This window comes from Homo sapiens, chromosome 7 (genome assembly GCF_000001405.40).
Source record: "Homo sapiens chromosome 7, GRCh38.p14 Primary Assembly".
NCBI lineage: Eukaryota > Metazoa > Chordata > Mammalia > Primates > Hominidae > Homo > Homo sapiens.
In genome coordinates, this window is record NC_000007.14 from 137,441,003 (window position 1) to 137,460,317 (window position 19,315).

Sequence of the window (19,315 nt, forward strand, 5' to 3'; positions counted from 1 at the left end):
CCGTCCTCTTTAAACTTTTCAAGGGCGGAACATAATCCCGAGCAAACATCACAGATAAACTTGTGCTTCCTCTTCTACTGCCTGGATGCTAGCGAATAATACTATGTTTGGGGTGCTTTTAACAAATCAGAAAGTGGGCCGGGCACGGTGGCTCATGCCTGTAATCCCAGTACTTTGGGAGGCCGAGGTGGGCGAATCGAGAGGTCAGGAGATCGAGACCATCCTGGCTAACACGGTGAAACCCCGTCTCTACTAAAAAATACAAAAAATTAGCCGGGCATGGTGGCGGCCGCCTGTAGTCCCAGCTACTTGGGAGGCTGAGGCAGGAGAATGGTGTGAACCCGGGAAGCAGAGCTTGCAGTGAGCCGAGATCGTGCCACTGCACTCCAGCCTGGGCGACAGAGTGAGACTCCGTCTCAAAAAAAAAAAAAAAAAAAAAAATCAGAAAGTGATTTCACAAATGATTTCTCAATTGAACTTGCTACAATCCCATGAGGTACGCAGTTTATGATTAGCTCCATTTTACAGACAAGGAAAAGAAAACAAACAAGATAAGGTAAAGGACAAAGCCACTGTATTTAAGCTCTCTATGCAAGAGTACCATGGGAATGAAAAATACCAGGGTTATTGGACGTTGCAAAATTAGATTTTTCCAAGAATAAGTTCTTGTCTTAGAGCCAAAGTGACTAGTTATTACAGAGGGAGGACTATTTGAGGAAAGCAAACAAAATAGAAAATCAAGAGACGTAAGGTTTTATATTCCAATTTCACAATCCATGTGTCCAACATGCCTTAAATTTTCTACCAATAAATTTGAGAAAGACAAATTGCTACTTCTCACCTCTCCTACAAGTGTGTTGCAATGCCATTATTGTGTACAAATAATATGTAAGATTGATGCTATAACATTCAAGAGGTTTTATACTAGCCATAGTACACATGAGCTCTTAAAAATGTATAAAAAGAAGGAAATATATTTTGAGTGGTGGATAGAAAATTCTGGTAATAAAGAAAAAAGCTTTTTTTCAAGAATATATGGGCTAGAAAATGATGAACAATTACATAGGATTAGGTAAATCATCACTATAATTTTGCATTATGTACTTGAACTATTTTTGGAAGTCACAGAAACAAACTAAGAGGTATGAACATGTAAGAAATTTTTTGAAGCCATGAAATTATAATGGCCCTCTAATTTCAATAATGTTTCTTCAACTAATCACATATAAGGTTCTTAAAATAATCAATTCTGAAGTGCTCTTAATCTTCCAAGCAAGTCTTTCTGTCAGTAGTCACCCTTTAGGACTTCAAAGGACCCTGACATATGCCCCCTATTATTTCATAACCACTTAAGAAGTCCTAGTGGATTATCAAATTATAATTCACAAGTTTCCCTCACCCACCATTTTTGTCTGAATGAGGAATAAATTCTCATAGACAGGAAGGCAAAGACAACCAAAAGTCATTAAAGGGAATCCTAGTTCAAAATAAAAACCAAACACAAGCTTCTAGTTTATAATGTGAACATGGAAGCCCAAGGGCCTATATAAATGGGCAAACACCTAGTAATACCAACAGCAATCAGCAAAATAGCACATAATAGCAGGTTACCATTAGGTGGTCAATTGCCTGATCCTGACTTAATGGGCCTGAACATAATTTTCCCTATGATTCTTCATAGAGAATAACACAACTTCATTCCAGTACTAAGTCAGATTTCACAATGTGGCAGTAGAAGAGGCCAGCCTAAAACTCCTTCTCCCTTTTCTTAATTCATTCATTTAATAAACACTTTTTCCTTGTTTGCTCTTCGTTGGAAACTATATCAAAGAACTCATAGTCTAATAGGGAAAACAGGTAAATAAAGCATGAAATTTGCGCATTAAGCCCTAGAATGTAGAAAAATATTAGGCACAACGATAAGCAGATCAGCAAGCCCTTACAGAGGATGAGGTGAGGTGCATAGAAACCATCTATATGGCAAAAGAAGTAGCATCCTGTCAGAGAGAACAGTATGGAGAAAAGCAGGGAGATGGCAGAAAAGATGGTGAGCTCCAGAAATTTGATGTAGAATTAGATGTATTGTCACATGGCTGGAAAACAGATCATGGGTAGGAGAAGGGAAAAGATGGTAAATGAAGCAATAAGCAGTGGAGGAAGACAAAGATTCCATCATTTAGTGCTTACTAGTCCATGCTAAAATACAATATTGAAAAGCTGAACACAATTATTGGTCGGCTGGAAAGATTTCATTCTAGAGGCCATCGGAGCAGATTTTTACTATGGAACGATCATTTTGGTGCTAGCCCGGTATACAGTGTACTAGGGAAAAGAAATATAGAGGTATGGATACCAATTATGAGAGAATTTCCAAAGTCCAAGTAAGATACAAAGGGGCCCCAAACCAAAGTTCCATATAGCATATTTGTAAAACATAACTACATAGCATAACTGATCATTGTAGACACTTAACACTTTTGTGACTGATTGGATAAATGAACAACTCCAAAGGTGAGATGGAACAAAATGAGATATTTTCTCTTTTGAGTGAATTAGCTGTCTCTTAAAATGCAAACAATTCATCTCAACTGGGTAACAACAAATACCACTGACTGCTTGCCTTCCTTTCAGATTTAGAGTGCTCTTCACAAATGAGTGATTGGAACATGATCCCAATGTCCATTCTGGAAGGGACTGTAGGGAATATCTACCACAAACTACCACAAAAATTTTTATCATTTTAAGGATAAAAATCTGAGTCATAAAAAGCACAGGACTAGTCCAAAACCACAAAACCACAAAAAGTTTCTGCTGATGGGACTGAAATCAGGCAGAATAAATTAAGGCTTCACAATATTCGTCAACCAGACGGGTTGGAACAGATTTGAAAGATATCAAATTCAGCTAGGGTGATTTAAGTTTTTAAAAGTGTTTGACATTTCACATTCAAAAACCACAAAGCCAATATCTTAGAGACATTTGCTTAAACAATTATTTGCTCTGACAATGAACTGCAAAGACCAGGGGTCAAGTTTCAATCCTGAATTGGTATAAATAAGACAGATGATTCTTACCATGATCTTCTGAAGAGACTGGTGACCTAAAAGGAAATAATAAGCATGATCAATATTTTATATGATAATTATAATGATAATCAAGAATAATTTCATAGTAATTTTACCCTCAAATTGAATTAAATGGAAAGTCAATATAGTAGACAGTGTAATTAATGTGTTGATTGCATGGTATATTTCAATCAACAATTCCCAACTCTTACCTGGATTGGTTGGATGTTACAGGTTACTAAAATATCAGTCTATGCATGGTGTCCTAGGACTGCAACAAACTTAGCTAAGTCTAGATTTACCACACAAAAAAAGAGAACTCATAGAAATGTAGTATAGATGAAATCCTGTGATGTGTATTGCCCAAGGACATGGCTCCAGCCAGGGATATAAAAAAAGCATTAGATTGGGTGTCTGTAGATACAAAGAGATCTACTTGAACAGTATAAATTGAGACAGAGGTAAAAGAAATAGCATGCACCCTTATCATTACCAGTTTTTGTTTTCACTCTTCATGGAATTTAATGTTTGAGTGAGCTGACCCTCTATTCGCTGCATTATGTCTCAGAACCCGGGAGAAACAGCATGAGGCCAGAAGGCAATCACTGAGGTTCCTCAGAACTTTATCAACAACTTTTGCAAACTATATGTGAGTTCTGCTTTAATTATGATAATCAGATCTCAAATGAAAAATCATATCAACCCTAAAAGGCTTGCTTCCCCCCAGTTGACTACTAGTTGAAATACTTTGAGTAGTATAGACCTAAGTTTGGAGATGAATTCACCTCCAGCTTGAAGACTACGGCTTTGACTCACACTTATTCTTTTCTGAGGAGAAAGAGAGAGACATATAACATTATATTCAGAGTTGTTGAAATTTCGAAGGGAAAGACAAGACATCACATACTTCCCCTATTTTGAAGGAGTCCTCTTCTCTGAATGATTGGCTCACTCAAATCCATAGCAGGGAAATGGCCAAAGATAAACTCAGGAGTTTGGCAATAGAGCTGCCAATTACTATAACTAATATTTATGAGACATGAAGATAAACCTCAGGACAAGAATCATTCAGTCAATACAAAAATGGTTGAAAATAATTTTTAGCTACTTTGGGATGCTTGATATGACTTTATCTACTGGTTAGTAAGATTACTGTTTATTATGTGAGTGAACAGTAAAGAATAAAGACACAGTGGTAAAGGAGAAAAGGCCTTGAACCTCAATGAGTGGCAAAGTATCAATTTATTTCAACTGTGCAAATCTCTTAAAGTAGACTTTTTCATGAAAACTACAGAGTCCCAAGATTTGGTGGAAAGAAAATTGGCTTCTGGGAGATGGACATGGGGGTGGTGAGCGGAAACCTGCCACAATCCCTAGTCAACACTGCCTGAGAAGCACCATTTGGCCTCCCTGGGTAGGGTTGATTTATCCTCCCACTGGATTCCCTTATTTTTTATCATCCACATACCAGCCTTTCTCACTGGGTTGTAACCCCCTTGAAAACTAAGGCTGTATCTTATTTAGAACAGATGAGCCCTTAATTAAAATGTGTTGAATTGAATTAATCTCAGTTCCATCACACTGATATTCAGACTGACACATTCTGGAGCTTCCCAAAAAGTCATCATGTTACTGTAAAACCATCCTTAAGACAAGCTTGCCTGCTCCTAGGCCAGCTGCAAGGAAAAGTCCTAGAGACTTGAAAGTGCCTGAAGCTCCAATTGGTTATAATGTGGACACTCTCAGAGCCAAAGGACATCAAAAGCACCCAGAAACACAGGCACCCATATTCTGCCTCCATTATTATTAAAAATAAAGTTGGGGAGGGGAGTATTGAATGAGAGGTGAAATGAAATTAGAAGCTGAATCTAAAAGAGAACCTATATTTTAAGTAAGATGAGCTAATTTCTTCAGGTGCTTAGGTCATACTAGAATCAGCCACAAGGAAATATCTTTCCTCCTGGTGTTTGCTGATGAGAAGTAAGTGAAAACGTGTCTTGGATTGTTTGCAATTAATTTGTCACAGAGCTACAGGAACAAAGTAAAATTCATGCCAAAGGACAACTAAATGTCTCAAGTGGAGAGCTTGTGAAGCAAGGTCTTTGCTGGCTTTGTGCAAAAGCAAAGCCCTGATATTAAATCTGAAAAATTCCAGATGGCTCCGTTAGAGTCCCAAGGGGACGCATTCTGCAGTATGTCCAGGCAGTGGATAAAATATCAATTTCAGAGTGTTTTGTGAAAATTAGTCATGTTGAGTTTCCATGTTGAATGTCTCCCATATGCCTGGCTTTGTGGAATTTTAAGACATATGGAGTATTTCCATCCTCACTCAGTATTTCACCTTTCACTGCAACAAGTTACTGCACTGCACTACTGAGACATGCACATCATCCATTATTGCTGGAAATCGGCATAAAAAGTTAGCTCATGTGTGGATCACCTGAGGTCAGGATTTTGAAACCAGCCTGGCCAACATGGTGAAACCCCGTCTCTACTGAAAATACAAAAAGTAGCTGGGCATGGTGGTGGGTGCCTGTAATCCCAGCTACTCAGGGGACTGAGTCAGGAGAATCACTTGAACCTGGGAGGCAGAGGTTGCAGTGAGCCGAGACCGCGCCATTGCACTCCAGCCTGGGTGACAAGAGTAAAACTCTGTCTCAAAAAAGAAAGAAAGAAAGAGAGAGAGGGAGGGGAAAGAAGTTAGCTCAGGAGAGAAGAAATATTCTGAAATCAGCAATATAAGTAGTTATTTTAACAACAGAGGTTCAATCCCAAAAAGAGATAATTATCTTAAACCTGACAACTGAGGCATGCAGGAAAGCCCTCTGGTTATTCTTTTCACCACACCTGAAAGACATGTGGTTGTATCCCAGACTGTTTATTTTTCCTCCATGTATACTTTATCTTGGAGCAAGCATCTGCCCTTATAGTGTAAACTATTACTAGCATTCTTATAGCTGTCCTCTTCACTTCTTTCCTGATCATGAGTCCTTTAGCTACAGAATATTCATATTTGTTTGTGCTTTGTTTTTATTTATTTTGGTACTTTTTACATTTTATTTTGCTTAAATGCAGCAAAATAATACAAAACAAAAATTCAAGCCATGCATTTAAAAATATTTCTCCTACTAAGCCTAAATCATTATTATTCAGGTTTGACTCTCTCCATTTATGTTGATTCAATTTATTACTTGAGACCCTATTATTACCAGGCCATGTGCCAAGGGAAGGAAACACAAAGAACAATTTCAGGGAACTCATAATCTAGTGAAAAAGAAAAATATGTAAATAAATGATTATAATGTAAAAAATATATAATGATCAAAATATATATGAGGCAAAGAGGTAGCACAGAGAACAGGGAGATTGATTCAGTATGAAAAGTGTGAAAGAAGGCTTAGAAAAACAAGAATCATCTGAACTTGGCTTTGAAGAATAAAGAGGAGCTTATTAGGTAAGTTAGGAAGGAGAAGAACTCCAGGCAGAATAGCAATAGGCGTGTGAAAAGGAGTACAGATATGAAATTGCATAGAATCCTACCAGATATACAAGTAACTCAGTATTGCTAGAATGTAAAGGAGTAACAAAAGCAAGGACTTGAGAAATAAGTGGCAAGGGCCATTTCATACATGGCGTGTGGGGCCCCGGTGAAGTACTTGCAATTTACCTTCTAAGCTAAATGGAGCAAGCTTGTGAGGCAGAGAAGTCACACATTCTGCAATGAGCAGGCAGTGGAGAGTGAACCATAAAATAACAAGAAGACAAATTAAAAGGCAGAGCTCAAGTTAAAGACTATGACTGAAAAACTTCCATGTTAGTAACACAGAAAAAAAATTCCTCTGCCCTTCAATTTTTTTGAAACCCATGGAAAATGACAGGGAGGATGAGAAATGGTAAAGGAAATACCCTCTTTGATTAAACTAGGTATTTATAAGCCCAAACCATCATACATGAAGAAGAGCTACCAAGTACAGTAAAAATAGAGCTAAGTTTTAGGGAAACAGATAATTTTGATTTTAGTCAGCTAAAGAGATATAAACTATTTCATACACAACAAAATCTATGGCAGAAAGCCTTCCACTTTGAGCCAGGGTGTTCTGCTAGCCAGAAGTAGACCCAAACCTAGAAGAGGATGCTGATAAGCAAAAGTTTGAAGATAACAGAGACAAAGTCAAACTTAAGAGCAGCACACCAAATCACTAAGACCGACCATCCATCCCAAACTAGAAGCTCAAAAAAAAAAAAAAAAAAACTCACCCAATGCAAATATTACAAGTAATAACAGAAAAGAACCAGCATGACATCTATGCAAAAATACCAGAGGAGAACACAAAACACAGGCAAAGAACACACTAAAAAGATGATGGCATAAAGCAGATAAAAATGATTAATAAATCTTCGTGTAATTTAGAAATGGAGGGAAGGAAGGAGGGAAGGAGAGAGGGAGGGAGGGAAGGAGTGAGGGAGGGAGGGAAGGGGAAGGGAAGAAGGGAGGGAGAGAAGGAGGAGGGAGGGAAGGAAGGGAGGGAGGAAGGGAAGGAGGAGGGAGGGAAGGAAGGGAGGGAGGAAGGGAAGGAGGAGGGAGGGAAGGAAGGGAGGGAGGAAGGGAAGGAGGAGGGAGGGAAGGAAGGGAGGGAGGAAGGGAAGGAGGAAGGGAGGGAGGAAGGGAGGGAGGGAAGGAAGGGAGGTAGGGGTAAATACAGCATTTGTGAAATGTAAACTTAAAGAAGAAAAATGATCAAGAAATAGTTACAGGGAGGCAAAAAGAGCAAAAGTCTGCCCAGAGTCTTTGAACTAGTTGTTATTAAAGAAACTTGTGGCTTTTTCCACTGTGGTACCACCGCACTAGGAAAAAAGATTAAGAGAAGATAAATAATAATTAAAAATCTATTAAGATATGAAACATTGATGAAAGAAATTGAAAAAGATACAAATAAATGGAAAGACATCTCTTTCTCATGAATTAAAATAATTAATATTGCTAAAATGTTCGTATTTTAAGCAACCTAGAGATTCTACGTAATTCCTATAAAAATACCAAAGACATTCTTCACAGATTAGTAGAAACAATCCTAAAACGTGTATGAAACCACAGAAGACCCTGAATAGCCAAAGCAATCTAGAGCAAAAGAACAAAGCTGGAGCCATCACACTACCTAACCTCAAAATATTTGACAAAGCTACAGTAACCAAATCAGCATGACACTGGCATAAAAACAGACAAATAGAACAATGGAACAGGATAGAGAGCCGGAAAATAAATCTACATGTTTATAGCCAACTGATTTTCAGCAAAAGCTCCAAGAATACATAATAAGGAAAGGACAGTCTTTTCAATAAATAGTGTTGGGAAAAGCATATATCTAAATGCAGAAGAATATAATTAGACTCTTACTGCACACCATGTGCAAAAATCAACTCAAAGTGGATTAAAGACTTAAATGTAAGTCCCCAAACATGAAACTGCTAGAAGAAAACAGAAAAGCTCCACGACATCGGTCTGGGCAATGATTATTTTGGACATGACCTCAAAAGTACAGGCAACAAAAGCGAAAATAGAGAAATGCGATTACCTCAAATTCAAAAGCTTCTACACAGCAAAGGAAACAATCACCAGAGCAAAGAAACAACCTACATAATATGAAGTTTCCTCAAAAAACAAAACAAAAATAGAACTACCATATGATTCAGCAATCATAAGGTAAATATTAAAAGTAAGTATTAAAAGAATGTGAAACCAGCATGCTGAAAAGATAGCTGCATTCCCACATTTATTACAGCACAATTACCAATAGCCAAGATATGGAATCAACCTAAGTGTCCATCAACGTACAAATGGATAAAGAAAATGTGGTATATATACACAATGAAATACTAGTCAGCCATAAAAAAAAGGAAATCCTGTCATTTGCAACAACATCAATGAACCTGAAGGATATTATGTTAAGCTAAATAAGCCAGGTAGAGAAAGACAAATACTGCATGTCTCACTCATGTGGAATCTAAAATGTTGATTTCACAGAAGTAGAGAGTAGAATGGAGGTTACCAGAGGCTGGGGCATTTCGGGGTGAGGGAGATGGGAGACATGCTCTTCAAAGTAGACAAAGTTACAGTTAGATAGGAAGAATAGTTCAGGAGATTTATGGTATAGCATGCTGACTATAGTTAAGGATGATACACTGCATTCTTAAAAAATGCTAAGAGAGTAGATGCTAAGTGCTCTCACAATAAAATTTATAACTATGCATGGTAATGCATACGTTAATTAGCTACATAATTAATGGTTATATATATTTCACATCATGTTGTATACAACACATAATAATTTTATGTCAATTTTAAAATTATTTTTAAAGAACTAGAATAATAGCTGGGCATGGTGGCTCACCCCTGTAATCCCAGCACTTTGGGAGGCCAAGGCGGGCAGATCACCTGAGATCAGGAGTTTGACACCAGCCTGGCCAACATGGTGAAACCCTGTCTCTACTTAAAAAAATACAAAAATTAGCCAAGCGTGGTGGCACGCGCCTATAATCCCAGCTACTTGGGAGGCTAAGGCAGGAGAATCAGTTGAACCCAGGAGGCAGAGGTTGCAGTGAGCCAAGATTGCACCGTTGCACTCCTGCCTGGACAACAAGAGCGAAACTCTGTCTCGAAAAAATAAAAAATTAAAATAATATATAGTTACATATTTTTAATTATATACATATCTTTATATATACACATATATATATATTTTACTTTGGATTTACTCTTCCATGAATCTTGATCTGAATATTTGCTGGTGAAAGTACCCTTCCCAATATTAACCCTGCTTATGAGAATATCCATATTGTCTCTAAAATAAAGACAACTTTTCAAACTAGCATACACAGAGAAACTTGGAAAAAAAGGGAAGCTCTTGGAAAACAAAATGCTATTTTAGATAGAATATTATGTAATTTAACTGGTAAAAATTAAAATATTTTCATACTGAAACCAGCACAGTCATATTATGTATCCAAAAGCAAAAGTCCCTTGAATTTTTAAAGTCACAAACTTCGAAAACAAACAAACAAACAAAAAATAAAACAGGACAAAACAGATATCTGTGTTTGAGGCAGTCAGCTTCAGACAAGTCTCCAGGTTCCCAAGGAAGTAAGTTTGTTCCTCTGGAACGGAGTGTTGTCATGGCAGTCTGAATATATGAAATTACCCAACTAAACACAGCTATAATATCTTGGAATGAATCATTTTATTAGATTAATATATAGAGATATCACAAATCAGGGAACAAGACATTCAGCACATATTGGCTAGTGGCTGCTGCATTACAGACAGCACTCTATCTAAACTCAAGCATCTCTAAGAAACTCAAAGATACTTTTTTTAGATTGCCTTCAATCCACAAATTTTCCTTCAAAGCCTTTTATCTTTCTAGTAGATCGATTACAAGGCTTAAGGGCACTGAAAAATGTGCCCAGTTTTCTACCAGCAAAAGAGCAATACATAAAAGCAAATGAGTATTATATTTGGGAAGGCAAAGGACTTTATAAAGTATTGCACCTCTTATGATGTTTTATCGTTTTTAGTCAATAAACCTGGAAATGAAATAATGGGTGTCACGACTATTTCAGTCTTTATATCTGGTATAATATACTTTACAATAGGTTTTAGATATGTGCATTTTCTTGGTAAGCTCCATGAAATGATCAAAACTTACAAGCTGATCCTAATACAATATCCTTTTCATTTCAATAACACTGTCCAGTTTTCTTTCTTTTTATTTTTTTAGACTCTATGCATATTTTGCTTTATTTATTTTTTTTCATCATCTCATGGCTTTAATTTAAAAGCACCCATGGCCTTCCTACTTGGCCCTTCCTCAGAATGGCTACATCATTTCCTTCTTTGGAGATAGGATGTCAATAGATTATCCATTAGTCTTTCCTAAAGAACAGAGGATAGATTAGATAAATATTGGGGATGCCTCTATATGGGACTCTTACTTTCTGTAAAGAAACATCTACAAATGAATGTCTATCTCTATTCCGTGTCCCCAACACATATACCTTCTACTCAGCACTGCTAAACCATCACCTGGTGGGGAGTTGGCCAAGGGATGGGGCCACCACATAGAGATGGGCTTAAGATAAACATGCAGGACAGGTGTGACAGCAGAGTTTAAATAGGCACAAGAGCATAGATTCATATTCTGAAAACACTCAGCAGTGGGATTCCCCAGGACCACAGACTATGGATGGAGTAGAAGAGGTGGGAGACACTCATCCAATTCACGGGCCTGACTGAAATAGCCAAGGCCCCTTCATTTTCTGGCTACCATCCTGCAATAAGAAAAGGAAACAAAGCGGGAATGCTGGGCAAGCTAGACACCGTGCTCCTTCTACACCCTACACAGCACACTACAAATAAGTACACCACTCCTTATTGTGAAGTTCTTGTTGGGGAACAAAGCAGCACACGTATGTCCACACACTGAAAACAACTCACTATATGCGTATTTTATTCAATTTCCCTTTCATGCCTGTCTTTCCTCTTTACTGTCTAGCTTTGGGGATGAGAACCACAGCAAAAAGACCACTTTCTATAAACATCAGGTGATGATCCATCCTACTTAGGAAGGGAAAGAGAAGCTCTTAATGTCAGCTCTGAATGTTCTTTCTCTGTCGTTTCAGTCATTTACTTGTATTTCTTTTCCCCTCTCCTGACCACAGCCCTGAGAGTTTCCTGGACTTTCTCATTTACCTTTGTCACAGTTGGGTGGAATCCAGTCTTTCCTGGATAGAACAGCCTCCCATCATGTGCTCACACCTTTTTCCTATGGTGAACATGTAAGAATGTTCATGCCTGGTCAGCATTCCCCAGGTTCCACTTTCCTCCCTGCTTCTTGAGCCATGATGCTTGTCCTCTGTTACACTCCTACGTAGTCCCGAATGAAAACCGATTTCCCAGTTGGGCATTCTCTCCAGGCACATTTCAACGGTCTGCATCACAACTGCAGAAACCTCATCTTTTTCTTCTGTTTTACCGTGAAGTGGTGATGCTACACAAATTCCATCTATTTCCTAAAACTGTTGGTAGACAAGAATCTTCATTCAAATCAAGTGAGCAAAGGTATGATTTACTGTGCTGTGAAAGCATGGCTGCAGATTATCATCTCTGTGCAATAGCTTTCTTCCCTTGAGCATCTCTCAAGGGTGCATTGCCTATCCTGGAGAACTAGTTTGCCAGGCCTATGACATCATTTGGAGGACCCAAGGGAGAAAGAATGAGACCATGGATCTGTGTGACATCTTCACCATTATCACTCTAGCCCCAAAGCATCTCTAATTAGGTAAAATAGGACCAGAAATCCCACAGCACTGCAAATCTCCATCGACTACATAATCCTCTCTTTGTTTGCTTTTGGTCCTTCTAATTGTGAATATTTCTCTTAAAACAGTGAACAAAGCACATACAGTAAAAGAGAGCAGGCGAGAATGAGAGTGAGAGATGAAAGTTACAGCAAACACACAGAGTGGCATTGAAATGAGAGAAAGACAAACACATTCTCTATTCAAGTGGTCACAAACCCATTCAGGGAATGCCAAGCAGCCTCAAAGGTAACATTCATGACCAACAGAGGGAAGGGGTGCAGAAAGAGCAAAATGAAAGGAAGAAGACAGAGATGAGCATTTGTGTGGAGGGAAGGAAATCATTTCCAGCATGTAAATAATAAAGGCTGCTTGGTGAGTTCCTCATTTGATACAAATTTCTACCAATTCCCTTTATTATCATAATTTCCCAGTCTTTAAGACTCACCTACCCAAATATATGCCTTGATGACCCCCATGTGAGCTGGGCTTGAAATATCTTGTTTTTTTTTTTTTTAAATAGATTCCTATATTTAGATATATTTGGCTTTTAGAAAATAGCACTGTTCAGGTTGGGGAGATATTGGTCAAAGGACGTATAATTACAGTTCAGCAGACTAAGTTCAAGAGATCCATTGTACAACATGGTGACTTTGGTTAATGATGATATAATATATTCTTAAAAAATGCACAGAGAGTGCATATTAAGTGTCCTCACCACAAAAATAACTGTGTGATGTAATGCATTCATTGATCAGCCAGGTTTAGCCATTCAACAATGTATACGTACTTCAAAAAATCATGTTGTACACAATAAATATATGCAATTAGTCAATTAAAAAGTCTAAAAACTAATTTTAAAAAAACGCTGTTTTACCTTTAGCATTTACAATTCCATACTTTCTGTATACCCTCCTCAGTTTGCTGAGTCGCCTGAATGTCTTTCGAGTATAAAATTTTACTGCCACCTACTGTTAACTTTTAAGAACTGCAACAAAATGAGGGCAAAGCAGTTTGAAATGTGAGAGATTGAGGAAGAATGGGCGACAGTGGACACAGAAAAGAAATAGATAAAATAAAGAGATGAAGTTGGAGAAAATAATACTTCACAAGCTTATTTATCCTGACGATGTAGCCATCACATTTTAGCATTCTGTAGACAAAATGAAAAAAGAAATAATTAAACCCAGCACAGTTGTGAAGCAATAAAGGATGGGTGGCTTGCCTTTAGAAATCAGTCTCTGCAATATAGTTGCCAGCCCACTTTCTAAAAAAAAGGGTGAAGAAATAGAAAAGGCACATTATTCTAAAATCCAGACAACGGAGACATACCCGGAGAGCCAGGAGGAAGGACCCTTTAGGAAAAGCCAAGCTGCCAGCTTTATCCTAGTGACTCTGGGAACCCCGGCCAACAGCTTCTGTTGAGACATAATCCATCTGGATTTTGTAAATGTGGACTTCTTTTTTTTCTTTTTAAGCATAAGTTGAAACATGAGGGAGCTCTGGATTGTGAAGGCAAGTCACATGAGAGCCACGTTTAGTCTTAGCACGTGGGGCTTATAAGCAAGGCACCTCACTTATCTCGTGATCCCGGATATGCAATATCTCCCTGTGGTAATTGAGTAAGGGCTCAGCCACAGCTACTTATTTTTAGGAAATCCAAATAAGGACTTCTGATCCCAGTTTTAGAAAATGGGAGACAAAACTAGGCGGGGTTGGAAGCTGGTTTGGCACCTCTGAAGATAACTGTAACATACCCCAGCAGCTTTCTGACAACATCTCCTCCCACCCCACCCTTCTCAGGAGAGGGTGGGAACAGAATCTAAACATTGTCTGCTTCCTCCTGACTCTAATGTGTCTAAGGACAAGAGAGTTTCTCAGTTATAGATCAGTTCGAGGAGCTCTGTGAAAAAAAATATAATGAATGCAGATAAATCATAGTAATATTGAAAACAAGAAATTAAAATGGGCTCGACAGACTGTGAGAATAATTCAGTGACTCCAGTGTTAGATATTAAGAACTGCTATGTACTTAACTCTATTCCAAGAGCTGTGGGAGGTACTTAACTTAAAACATTCCATTCCCACCTTTAAGGAGCTTGTAAGGGAGTCATGGAGTAAGACCAGCATCTCACAGAGTATTGGAGAAAACTGTTGGAGGATTGTTGTTCTTATGTGTGATGCCTGGCACAATCATCCAGAAAAGTTAAAAAAAAAAGGGGGGGGGGCGGGGAATGTGGTCTCCATCTCCCTGAATTCCAAATAAGTAGTGCTAGCATGGTGTGGAGATATCTCTTGTTCTGATCTTCTTAGAGTAGGGGGTTCAGAGGGCCCCAGAAGTACCGCAGAGAAGTCCCATGCCCGATATGACTCCCCAGCCACCACCATTTCCAGTGATAATATGACATCCCTCTCACATTCCTCAACTCCACACTGAACATGGTAAGTGATTACTGCTCCACATCCCAGCAACTTGAGATTTGCAAGCGAATTTTTTTGAAAATATTTCAAAATGATCACTCTTTCACACTTTAGATCTGTTTAATCAAATTATTCACCTAAGACAGACACACTGAGAAAACAAGAGTGTTGGTGGAAGTTGGAGAATGCAGCCGGGGACCAACAGTTTATTTTGGAGGTGAATGCCTGGGAAACAATTCTTCCTTGCCACTCTACCTACCACTGTGCTCACCAACAGTGCCTACAACTTCCTATACCGACCATACTTACCTTTTACTTTCTCGCTTGTGAAATACCAACATTTCTCCAAGTCAGGCATTCAGGTGTGTCTTTATTATTTTGATCTGTGAATTCCCTGGATCCAGCATACTTATATTCAAATTTGAAATATATAAATGGAACCCACAGCCTAACAAAAATGGTCAACATTTTACATATTATTTTGTTATCACTATTATTTTGTTATAATTTGATAAGTACTGGGTTTAGTATAGCAATATAAATAGACACGTATTTATTTTGGTTTGACAAAGCACCTTTTCTATCAAGGGATGTTCTATGAATGGAACATCCTTCTATTCATCCCAAAAGCCTGCCTTGTTGGATGCCTACCATTTTAGGTATGGTGCAAAGTGCTATGGAGACAGAGGGAGAAATGCACAGTTTGGTCATCCAAGGAACTCACATGCTTTAAAGAGGGATCCAATCAATACTGCCTCACATTCACAGTATTCCTGAAGTGTGAATAAATATGGCTGCCAGCTTTTACAAATGTAAAAAGAGAGCCACTTAACACTAATATTTCCTCATACTCTAATCATTGGCAAAACTTGGAACTCATGGCAATGAAGGGCGAGAATTTCCTGGGATTATTTCAAATAAAATGGATGTTTAACATTAAAGTAAGTTTGTTTGTTTTTCTTTCAATGTCAGTCAAAATAAGATCTGGTACACAGGGAACTCTGTTCTAACTCTTCCACTAACTGAACTTGGAAAGGTAAATTTAAATCCATTTCCTCCGAGTGGTTTAGGGCCTCCATATGCATAACTGATTGAGGAACAATTCTAAAAATAACAAAGGCAAATCTCTTATTAAATATTTCACACACCCATAGGAATAGAGTGTTATTATGTGCTTGCCAAATAGAGTAATTCACCAAGTCATTTCAAACTCAAGGTAAGTCAAGAAGAAAAAGAAGAAGGAAGACATATGTCAGCTATCCTGTATTTTTCCAGCTGGAATGAGTATCCGGGGTGAGCAAGATTGAGCCCAGTCAAAGGTAAGCAGGGATGTCAAAGGTAGGTAGAAACGGGACCCAACTATCTCAGTGAAACAGATGCCAGGAGCCATCTTTATCCTGACAGCACTGATTTCATCTCTAAGATATATTTCAGCAAAACCTGCATCCCACTAAGAAGATTAATTTTCTCCCGCTTATCTGATTGTGAAGCTGAAAGAATATTTCCAAAATCAAAATCGCTGTCCAACAGTCTGTCTTCCTGTTGAGAACCTGAAACTTTCACAATAAGCACAATTACCCTTTTTATTAGGTTCAGGCCATAACCTAATGTTCCCAGAAGAAACTGAATAAAGAAAATAGTTGAGGACCAGAGGGGAATGATGTTGTTTCTCCCATAATCAGCTTAGAACATCTGAGTTTTCAGAACACAGGAGGTCTCCGGGCTTTATCTTCTCGATATAGTGATTCAGAATTGCAATTGCAGACTATACTAAAAAGGCCAGTTTTTCAGTTTAAAGTATTATTAGGTATCTTGGTATCTCCAAATAATTTCTCGGTTGTCCAAATTTCCTTGAGCACACATAGCATATGGAGAGGTTGAACTACCATTGAATGTTTTCCATTATTTGAGAGATATTTCTGGTTTACACAATGAGGAAGGACAAATACTTATCTGTTCACATGTAAAAAATGAAGAAAATACACATAGAACACTTAATAAGCCTATTTTTTTTCTTTGAGGCTGACATTTTCGTTAATTCTTTAAATATTCATCATTTCTAGGGTCAAAAAAGTTAAATCTAAAAAAAAAAGCAGCAAATTATATTTCCTCTTGTTTCCAGAACACTCTATGCATATATCCATAATAGCACTTATTAGAAGGAACTTTAATAATTGGTTTAATATTTCCCCTTTAAATATAAGCTCTTCAAGGGCAATAATTATTTCTTCTTTAGTTGTATATCTTCAGTGCCTGACTTCAGTCACTGAAGGTGCCCAATACTGATTTGTTCAATACACGATTGACTGAATTGTTTACCCTATTTCTTAGGGTAATCACAATGAAATCACAAATCAGACCTCACACATTATAGTTAAACATTTGATAGCATTATCTTTCCTTGAAGACAGAAATCCTCTGCCAATCATAAAAACCCATTAGCCTTGTGCAGCTGATCGGGTACCAGATACCTGCCTAGACACAATTATCTGGATTGAATATCTACCCTCGGTGTGGTTCACTACACTGTTTCCCCTGTGTCTTAGTCTAGTGGCAAGATATTATTTGTGTGACAGTCCATTTTAGTTCTTTCAGGACTAGGACTTGGGGACATTGAGAAAAAGTACAACTCTTTCAGTCATTTGGGGGTTTCTTACGAACTACAAAATCTAAGAACCGGAAAAAGGTTACTCTGATTCAGAAACAAAAGCAGTGTCTCCTAGACCCTTTACCTGCCTGCTCTTAACCCACCTGACTCAGAGGTGAGTCAGTCCTTTTCTCAAAGAAAACTTAAGAAGAATATATCAGAGTTTTCATTCCATGCCTATTTTCTTTTCTCATAGATCCTCAAGTGGCAAAATTCTTCCTTACAACTCAAATAGATTTGGTCTGCTAAAATTTAAGTAAATTCCCTCTCTATTAATCTTCTGCCAAATGAAATATAGTCTTGTCACTAATCGTGGTGGTACAATTAATGATAAGAGCAAATACATTTCCAGAATCATGTCATTTTAAATAGAACTTCCTTGGACACTGAAAAAAAATTTTTTTAACTTAAAGAAAAAATCATTATGGTCCCAGCAGTAATAATGTCAGTCAACCACTTCTCACCAATTCATTTCAAAATTGGTTCTTAAATATTTGTTATTATGTTCACAGGTTTTGCAGACACTATACACATTGCGTATCCTACTTTGGAATTACAGTCTTTCCTATAGGATCTGCATATAAGTAGGTATGTGTATATCTTTCTTTAAAATTATAATGCTTCTAAATGGAAACATTTAAAATAAATGCAACCAATTCCAGTAATGATAGAAATCTAATTCATCCTTTTTATACTAATTGCCTCTCACTCTGCCTGAGAAAAAGGGAGGTTGATGGATCTAAGGGACTATTTTAAATTTTAAAACCATGGGAAAATGCTGAGAAGATCCAACAGAGCCGGGTCAGTTGCAATTTGGAGGAGAAAGGGCCGCTTGGCACAAAAATGCCCTGGGTGCCTTGGAGGAAGAATGATATGGGGAAAGCCTTGCAGGTATATTTCTTTCTGTTTTCAGTACTTTTTTCTTTTAAATCAGACTTCTCAGAATTTTGTTTTATTTATCTTTTCAACGAATTTTTTAAATTTTTTTTTTTTTTTTTTTTTTTTGAGATGGAGTCTCGCTGTTGCCCAGGCTGGAGTGCAGTGGCACGGTCTTGGCTCACTGCAAGCTCCGCCTCCCGGGTTCACGCCATTCTCCTGCCTCAGCCTCCCGAGTAGCTGGGACTACGGGCGCCCGCCACCACGCCCGGCTAATTTTTTGTATTTTTAGTAGAGACGGGGTTTCACCATGTTAGCCAGGATGGTCTTGATCTCCTGACCTCGTGATCCACCCGCCTCAGCCTCCCAAAGTGCTAGGATTACAGGCGTGAGCCACTGAGCCCGGCCAAAAATTTTATTTTCTGTTCATCATCTGTCTGTTTTATTCTCCTTGTCATTGATTTCTCTCATTATCTTTATCATTTTTCTCCCCTCTCATTTCTTTACACTGGGATTCTTTTTCCAATTTATCAAATTGAATGCTTTGCTTATTTGCACACAATCATTTTTCCCTTGATAAATGAATCTGCAGTCCTAACGTACTATGAATACTACGTTAGCAGTGTCTCGAAAACTCTGATAAGTAGTATTTTCAGTTCTAAGAATTGAAAGTTTCTCTTTTGATTTCTGTTTATATAGTGAGTTATTTAGCACTGTCAACAGGATGCTAAATTGAACCTTTCCTATCCCCCAAGTTGACTGGGGCTTTAAAGTGTAAAGCAACAGATGCTGATCATACCTAGATTATTACAATAAGTGTTCAGGGCCTTTTCAGTTACTGATTCATCAGTACTCTAACTGGGAAGGTAAATTTTGCATTATCGAGTAAGCTGAAACTGCATATATATTCTGCAACACAGAAGGGCACAGGATGTTTGCTGCATTTTAAAAA

General features: G+C 38.0%; 1 protein-coding gene across 8 annotated transcripts in view; it reads right to left on the reverse strand.

Annotated features, from left to right (window-relative positions):
• DGKI (diacylglycerol kinase iota) overlaps positions 1 to 19,315 on the reverse strand; it is a 465,938-nt gene that overhangs the window by 59,966 nt on the left and 386,657 nt on the right. For all 8 annotated transcript variants that reach the window (XM_047421022.1, NM_001321708.2, XM_047421021.1 and 5 more), the window contains one exon: positions 3,075 to 3,100. In XM_047421022.1, coding sequence (XP_047276978.1) covers positions 3,075 to 3,100 — 26 coding nt within the window. The remainder of the gene's footprint in view (positions 1 to 3,074; positions 3,101 to 19,315) is intronic.